Source organism: Homo sapiens, chromosome 1 (assembly GCF_000001405.40).
Source record: "Homo sapiens chromosome 1, GRCh38.p14 Primary Assembly".
Classification (NCBI taxonomy): Eukaryota; Metazoa; Chordata; class Mammalia; order Primates; family Hominidae; genus Homo; species Homo sapiens.
Genome location: NC_000001.11, coordinates 188,347,208 through 188,356,536, shown reverse-complemented (window position 1 = coordinate 188,356,536; position 9,329 = coordinate 188,347,208). Strand labels below are relative to the sequence as shown.

Sequence of the window (9,329 nt, the reverse complement as noted above, 5' to 3'; positions counted from 1 at the left end):
ACATTGCCCACTGTAGTCAATCACTATCCCCTCTCCCAACTCCCGACAACAACTGATCTATTTTCCAACTCAATAGTTGTACTTTTTCTAAATTTCATATAAATTTGATCCTATTGATGGCAGTGATGGCCCTTCTGGAGATGCCTTTGTGAGGATGCTGGCTGCAGCACGGAAGGCACAGCTGGGGCTGAGCGCTCCACAGAGCTGGTGGGAGCCAAGTACAGGTAAGAGCCCCACCCCTTACTGGGTTGGCAGGGCAGGAGCCTGCACTCCTAGGTATAGCCTCAGCCACACAGCCACGGCTCCAGACACCAGCATCCCTGTGTTCTTGGGGGACCCAGGAAAAACTCTGCCCCCACAGGCTTGAAAATGTTTGCTCCTGCTCCTGACCTCTCTCTGCTCCTAGTGCCCACTCTGGGGTAGAGCAAAGTTGTGGCGAAGCCTAGGTGCTGCCACAACTCAGCCAGGTGTGCATGTGCTCAAGGCAGCGCTGCCACAACAGTCCCCTGCAACCTCAGCCCCCTTCAGACTTTGGGTGCCACATGAGCACAGGAGGAGGCCCCAGGGCATTGAGGTGGCCTGGCTCAGGGCTGCAGATGCCTCTCAGTGGAGACAGCCTGGGCATCATGGACAGCACGTTAAACGCAGACAGGTTCTTAGGTGGAAAGGAGCAGGTCTCTGGTAAAACCTCATCTTCAATCCAGATACAGCCTGAAGGCTGGGGGGCTGGGCTGCCAGTTCCAGATGAAGTCTGCAGCCCATACTGAGAACTTCATTAATGACCATTCAGCCAATTGGATGGTGCTTTTTCCAGGCCTGTCTGTGGTCACCCATGAACCAATTAGCAAGCACTTCCTCCATTCTAAGCACATAAAAAACCCATACTCAGCTAGACTCACATACTTGTTGAGATGACTTGGCTGAAGAAAGGAGCTACATGCTACGGGCTTTCTGTCCACTGAGAAAGCTGGACACTTGTTGGGACAACCTGCCTGCAAAAAAAAAAGAGCTACCCACTATGGGTCTCCTCTTTGCTGAGAGCTGGAAACTCATCAGGACAACCTGCCTACAGATAGGAGCTACACACTCTGGGTCTTCTCTCTGCCTATGGTTACACTTGTCCCCTCTTGAACCCTGCCACAGGGCCTACATAGAGTTTGCTCCTGCCAACACTGAATAAGTTGACTGCTTCCTGCACTCGCCTTTCTACACACTCAAGGGGTGGAGCATGCTGGCCCAGAGTGAATGGAGTTTGCCTCTGCTGGCAGGTTCCTGCAATGGCTCTCTCCTGTTGCCATACTCATTCACTCATGCATTCCCTCCTACGAGAGGTTGAGTGGGGCAGGCTGAGTAAATGGGGCACTCCTGTCATGAGTCCCTCAAAGGAGTCAAGAAAATACCCTGTATCACTTGCATCTGCATAAAGACATGAACATATTGAAACTGGGTTTGTCTTTTTTCCCAAGGACTTCTTTTTATACATTCCCAACGGAGTGGGAAAGGAGAAACAGATTGTCATTAATAACAAGGCAGTTTTTCACCAAGGATAAGCTATTTCACATTTGCTCGTAATCAAAAAATTCCTAAAAGAAAGATCTTCAGTTTTTGACAAAAAAACAGGAGTCTGAGAAAAGAAATTAGAGCTCAGACTTAGTCCTGGACTTTCCTCACTATCACAAATGGACAGAGACCTGTGTGGGAGGCTCAAGGAAGTCTCAGTGGACTTTTGATGTCCCCATAAATAACAACACAAAGTTTAGTTGGCCAAGCAAAATTAAATACATTAATATTATTAATTTATTCATTTTAATGATGTATTTAACCTGGCAAGACAGGGAACAATATTTATTAGTTATGGGTTCTGTAATAATGTGGATTAAGACATGTCATTGAAGTCAGGAGAGTATTAGAACTATTTGTGAAATAGTAGTTAAAGATTATTGAACATTACTAAGCAAAGGTCTTAGAGTGATGCCTCACAAGCATACTATTTATTCTGATAATCAAACCATTTATTGGGATAAGTTGATTTATAAGAATTGACTGATGCAAACTGTTAGTGACATTCTACTGAAACAGAAAGCAGGAAATTGTTTTATGGTAGTTTTTATCAATGTGGCTAGAAACAATCAAACTAGGGGTTGAGTTGTAAAAATAAGGAGGAGGGGTCAGAATGTTAAACAGGATACAAATCATAAAGAGTCTTACAGGATGTAATGAGGGTTTTGGATTTTATTTTAACTGCAATAGGAAGCTGTTGGGGAAGTTTAAATATGATCAGTTTTTTGCAATAAATAATACTTTTAAGAAGCTTTAAAGTAAAATCTGAAGACTAATCTTGTAAAAAGGCATATAGATAAATAAATAAATATTGGTTGGCTGAGTTTTGAGGCTCTTTGGTTACCTGCTTTTACATTTCTGACTGCCTTAGGGTCCTTTTAGGCAAGGTATTTTACAACTTATCGAAGATTTAAAGGTTGAATTTAGGATGGTTCTTTCTCCTAAACTAACTGACTCTAAGATTTTGTGAAATTTAATTTTTGTCCCTTATGAATTTTTTTAAAATATAAAATTAACAATCTGTACTTTTTTAAAGAGGTGGGGTCTCTCTATGTTGCCCAGATTGAACTTGAATTCCTGGGCTCAAGTGATCTACCAGCTTCAGCCTCCAGAGTATCTGGGACTATAGGTACACACCACTATGCCTGGCATCCAAACTTATTTTAATCAGAAAACAAACCTTAATATCTATACATTTTCATGTTTTCATATATAACCTATTAACATACTAAGGAAAATTAAGTAGAATTGAATAGCATCTCAATTTATTTTCAAGAAAAAATACAGATTACAATGACATAATGCAGCAAAATATTACCTTAGTTCATTTACACCTGCAAATTGCAATGGACTGTCAAAGGAGAAGTTGTCAAATAATCTTTTTAAAGACAGATATGCACAAATGTATTCTAAGTTTTCCTTTATTTAGCTGAATTCATTCGCTAGCTTAATAAATTCTCACCATAGTGAAATTGGTGTCATAACTATTTGATAGATTGGAGTATCCACCTCTTCATCTTTTATCGAGAGTGGTCAATAATAAACATCAATATCAATACTAAAATTACAGAATTTTTTCATTTAATTAAAATAGCTAAAACACTCTAAATCTCTGTTTACTTGAAAACATTTGATAGTTTTTGGATAGTAGTTCAGATTGAGAGATACAATGTTATAAGCACTGGTAAAGTTGCCACCAAGTAGATAACTTTTTTTTTTTTCAAGACAGGGTCTCATAGTCCTTTGGGTATATACCCAGTAATGGGATGGCTGGGTCAAATGGTATTTCCAGTTCTAGATCCCTGAGGAATCGCCACACTGACTTCCACAATGGTTGAACTAGTTTACAGTCCCACCAACAGTGTAAAAGTGTTCCTATTTCTCCACATCCTCTCCAGCACCTGTTGTTTCCTGACTTTTTAATGACTGCCATTCTAACTGGTGTGAGATGGTATCTCATTGTGGTTTTGATTTGCATTTCTCTGATGGCCAGTGATGATGAGCATTTTTTCATGTGTTTTTTGGCTGCATAAATGTCTTCTTTTGAGAAGTGTCTGTTCATGTCCTTTGCCCACTTTTTGATGGGGTTGTTTGTTTTTTTCTTGTAAATTTGTTTGAGTTCATTGTAGACTCTGGATATTAGCCCTTTGTCAGATGAATAGGTTGCGAAAATTTTCTCCCATTTTGTAGGTTGCCTGTTCACTCTGATGGTAGTTTCTTTTGCTGCTATAAAGACACATGCACACGTATGTTTATTGCGGCATTATTCACAATAGCAAAGACTTGGAACCAACCCAAATGTCCAACAATGATAGACTGGATTAAGAAAATGTGGCACATATACACCGTGGAATACTATGCAGCCATAAAAAATGATGAGTTCACGTCCTTTGTAGGGACATGGATGAAATTGGAAATTATCATTCTCAGTAAACTATCACAAGAACAAAAAACCAAACACCGCATATTCTCACTCATAGGTGGGAATTGAAAAATGAGATCACATGGACACAGGAAGGGGAATATCACACTCTGGGGACTGTTGTGGGGTGGGGGGAGGGGGGAGGGATAGCACTGGGAGATATACCTAATGCTAGATGACGAGTTAGTGGGTGCGGCGCACCAGCATGGCTCATGTATACATATGTAACTAACCTGCACAATGTGCACATGTACCCTAAAACTTAAAGTATAAAAAAAAAAAAAAAAAAAAAAAGACAGGGTCTCATTCTGTCACTCAGGCTCGAGTGCAGTAGTGCGATCTTGGATGACTGCAACCTCCACCTCCTGAGCTCAAACAATACTCCCATCTCAGCCTCCCAAGTAGCTAGAACTACAGGCCCATGCCACCAGGCTTGGCTACTTTTTGTAGTTTTGTAGAGATGGGGTTTTGCCATGTAGCACAGGCTGGTCTTGAATTCCTAGACTCAACTGATCCTCCTGACTAGGTCTCCCAAAGTTCTGAAATTACAGGCATGAGCCACTGTGACCAATCCTCGAGTAGATAATTTTTAAGACAGAAAAATGGGTAAACAAATTCAGTTTTTTGAAAAATGTTTAATCATAGCAACAATATATATTAAATTCTAACACTATCCTCCTTTCTTATTTTAAAAATTGTTACAGTATCCTCAGATTGCATTTCCAAGAGTACTTACATTGCATAACAAAAGTAAGAAACACAGATTGTTTTATGTTTCCAGATAATTATCTTGCTCCTTTTGCTGCAATTTCTCACTCTTTCAAAAATTATTAAATTTAACACTCACTACAAATCTGGACTGAAAACTTCAGTGAAAACAAGGAGCTAAAATAGATAGCACTGCATGTGGTTTAAATTCTGTGATTAACTAAACAAGAATTCTTTTTCTCAAGAAATAAATATAAATGCAATGATGACATTTGCAAAAACATGATAAATAGATTGAGCAATTCAGTAAATATTAATTTGAGTTCACTGTGTGAGGTACTATGTTTATATATGAGAGTTATATAGTTAGATATAAAAATGTGTTCTGAATAAAATATACTTATCTATCTTGCCTTATTTCAGAAACTTTTTAAAATTAAAATTACATTTATCACTTACAATTCTTCACAAGGTTATGTTTTCAAATAATTTTCATGGAGAAATGCACATTAACTTCAAATTATCCTTACAACACACACAAGGTTAATAAAACGGTTAAACAATAGCCCCAAATCTTTGCAGTACGTTTTGGAATAAGAAATTCAGACATTTCATAAGTTTTACAGTTATCTTATGTTTTATCAGGAAAAACACTATTTTTATTTGTTTTGTTTTGAAAGGATTATTTAGAGGATCATGATAGTGGTTCTGGGCACACATTTGAATAAAAGAAATCAAGTAATAGATTCTATTAATTTTCCTAGATCTTTCCAATTTTATGTATCTAAAGCCTGCTTTTATAGAACAGTTTTTTCACACAGTAAGTTTGTAGGATTTTTCACTAGAGTAAGAAAATATTTTCATTTTCAGTTGTAATCATAGATTTTAAATGCACAGCTCCCCAATTTATATTATTCTCTAACATTCAGTATTGATAAATCAAGATCTTATAGTTTTAAAACATCACTTCTTAGACACTTGCACTAAAATCTTTCAAAAGTTATTCTGTATATGCCTTCATGGCATATGCACATATGGTCAAAATATACATGGATAACTCAATCAAAAAATCTATTAGGTATATTCACCACTTATTAGTCATATAATTGAACTAAAACATAAAATTCTTAAGAAATTTTTCAATTAACTGAAAAAAAAATTGTGTTTTTATGGCTGTATTTTTTCTATTTTATATTTTTCTCAAATATTTTTTATTGTACAGATAATTTTAACTCATGAACTTTATTAACTTTTATATAAAAACTAATAATCTATCAGTTAGGATCTCAGGAGGCATAAACTGGCAGAATATTATTATACAAAATATTAACTACTTGCAAACGAAAAAGGCCAAATGTGAATACGGAGGGATCATAGAGTTAGTAATTTTAGAAAACAGCTTCCACTCCTAGCACAGAAGAATAAAGAGAAGAAGTTATTAAAATTATGCAGTGTAAAAGAAGATTCCTTCTGGAGCTGGAATCCAGACTGCTGAGAAGTTGTGGCTGGCACAGGTATCTCTGAAGAGCATGATGGGGCTTGTTCTGGAATGATGGACAAACTGCAAACTGCAACCAATTGTTGCTGCTGTAATCAAGTGTTTCTGGCAGAATGAATAGCCACTGCTATGTTATGTTGACATTGACAGAAACTGGAAGCAAATGGAAAAGAGTGTGTCTGTTGCTTTCTTTCCACTATTCCGTTGTCCCTTTAGAGCCCTCAACTGGTATCCCCTAACACTAAGCCAGTATTACAAAAATAGTATAAGAGTGTAAGTCTGGAATTGAGAAGCAGAAGTTGAATAAGCAGCAGAAATGAAAAACAACTGCTAATTTCTAATATATATTGGATTCTAGGAGTTCATAATAGAATAGGAGGTAAAATGAACAGTGGAAAGGTCAGTTGTATCAGAGTTATAGTTTGAGTTGCCTGGACAATTGAGACAGAGATGGACTCTAGTGTACAGAATATTAAGGAGCATCCTTGAGACAAAAACTTGTGCAAGATTGTAGGAGAAAGTAAGAGAGGCAGAGAGAAATCAGTTTGAGATACACCCTTAGGAACTCCACAGGAAGCTTTGAAACTAAAGTGGTCATTCAGTGTTGCCCCAAGTAGGACCACGGCGGCAAGATCTATAAACTCCCTCATCAGTCAGTAATGATGTGGATTACCCTGGGAAAAGATGTGACTTTGTGCAATCTCTTCAACTCAGGCAATCTCTAAGAGGGCGTATGATTTCTCTTGTTGGCTGGTTTCCTATAACAATCCCAACAGTTGGGGTAACAGTTCTTAATTGACTAATCCAGGTGGCAAATTATGATGTCCACCAAAGTCAGAATAGCTATTGAAGGCATTTGTAGTAATTCCGACTATCCAAAAAATATGACATGAAGATGGGAATGTGGTTAAAGTAATAGCTACAATTTAAAATAGTGACAACACCAAATTTTGGAAAGGATGCAGAGAAATTGAATCACTCATGCAATACTCGTGGCAATGTAAAATAGTAAAACCACACCAAAAAGCAGTTTGGCTGTTTTTAAAAATAAAACCAAACATAAAATTTTCATAGTACCCAGAAAATTAAGTTTTAAACATTTACTCCAGATAAATGAAAGCTTATGTTGAAATAAAATCTGTATGAGAACTTGCAGCAGTTTAATTTGTGTGCAATAGCCAAAAACTGGAATTGTCCCACATGTACTTCCAAAAGTGATTGGCGAAACAAACAGTGGTACATTTACACCATGGGATAGTACTCAAAAATAGAAAAGGAATGAAATATTCTTACACATCATCACTGGGAGAATCTCCATAGAGATAGGCTGAGAGGGAAAAAAAGCTAACTCCAAAATCTTACATAATGTTTGTTTCTATTTATATAGTATTTTTGAAATGAAGATAGTTTAGAAATGAATTACAGTGTAGTACTTGTCAGCGGTTGGGGACCAAGGATGAAGAAAGTGTTGAGGGGTGGGTCTAGCTATAAAAGAGAAATAGAGAAATCACTGTGGTGTTGGATCTGTTCAGTATCTTGATTTTCATGGGATACAAAACCTACAGGCAATAAAATTGTATAGAACTTATTATACCCTCCCACACATGCATAAGTATAAGTAAATCTGGAGAAATCTGAAAATGATTGGTGGATTGCCTCAGTTCCAATATCTTGGTTGAGATGGTAGTCTATAGATTTTCACAATGTTATTATTGGGAAAACCTGGAGAAAATGTACAAGGGATCTCTCTGCAGCATGTTTTACAACTGCATGTAAATCTACAATGATCGCATTAATCATTTCAGTGAAAAAAGACTGACAGAATAATATAGATTAAAATGCTTATGTCTGTACCTGAGAGATATCAGTGTGAGATGGAAGAATCAGAAAAGAAATAAAAGAAATATTGTTCTTAGATATCAGCCCATTAGCTCGACAGGTAGACATGGAGCAAGAATGCAAACATATACATACACTTGATTACTATACCTGGTATACCCCATTACAAAGACAGACTTATTCACCTAGTTCTTGATAGAGTCCAGGAACTTCTCTTGGAAGTCTGATTCTTCTTTGCCTTATTCATCTTTTTACAGGCCTCCCCACAGCATTCACCGTACCTTGCATACAGTCCCTAATTTCGAAGTGTTTGTTGACTGGATATGTAATTTAATCATTGGGTTCACTGATACAGAGTAGTGTGCAAGTTTATTGCATGATAGACTGAAAAGGATGGAGTATTTTGTATGCTTAGTAAAGTAATAGAACCGAAATGAAGAGTAACAGTAACAAAAGTTTGACTGGAAATCATTGTGAGACTGAAAATTAATTCAAATTAAAATTTTGGAGGACTTTAATTGATAAGTCTTTAAGAGATACTCATCAGAGATTTTAGGGAAGGATATACTATGCATTACCTTATACACATGCAGAGAAAAAAATCAATTTAGTGTACTAAGACTTGATTCTCTTCAGTTTCTGATCTAAATTCAGTTTTACCATCTATGCAGTTGTTTATGACTCTGGAGACATTTTTTATTCCTCCTTCTCTTTTACCAAATATGTCAAATTTGTCTACAATCCCTTTTGATATTACTTCCAAATTGTTTCTTTATCTTCATTTCTACGGTCTGTATTCTAATTTCAGTTCTCATTATCTTCAGCTAAACTATAGCGATGATCTCTAGACTGGTATTCCAGTTGATCGCCTCCTCAGCTTCAAATCTATCTATTTTGCCACCCACAGGTTTAGTTTTCCAAAACACAGATTGGATAAAGTTATACTACTGTTCAAAGAGTTTCAACAGCAAAAAAACAAAAAACAAAAAAAACCTCCAAACTTTTCATCAAAGTATTCAAGGCTTTGGCTAGTTTGGTTTCAATTTGTTTTTCTAGCAGGAATGCTTGTAAATGTTTTTATGCTATAACACTCCCAATAGGTCAGCATGCCAAGCTGTCTTCCAAAAAAAAAAAACCATGACTTTATTTTATCATTACGTCTGTTGAAATGCTCTTCCATATATGTGGTAATTGCATTCTTTACAGTTGATCTCAAAAATAAACTTTCATTATATTCCTTTCAAAATTTATTGGTTCTTTCAAAAGTTATTTTGTTTATATATTTCTCTTAAATAGAAAGAA

At 36.7% G+C, this 9,329-nt stretch overlaps 1 annotated feature.

Annotated features, from left to right (window-relative positions):
- Positions 580-1,081: an enhancer, noted in NCBI's record as "H3K27ac hESC enhancer chr1:188324587-188325088 (GRCh37/hg19 assembly coordinates)". NCBI's record gives its function as "activates a minimal SCP1, AML or CMV promoter by ChIP-STARR-seq in primed H9 embryonic stem cells {active_cell/tissue: H9 hESC(primed)}" and the evidence as "EXISTENCE:reporter gene assay evidence [ECO:0000049][PMID:30033119]".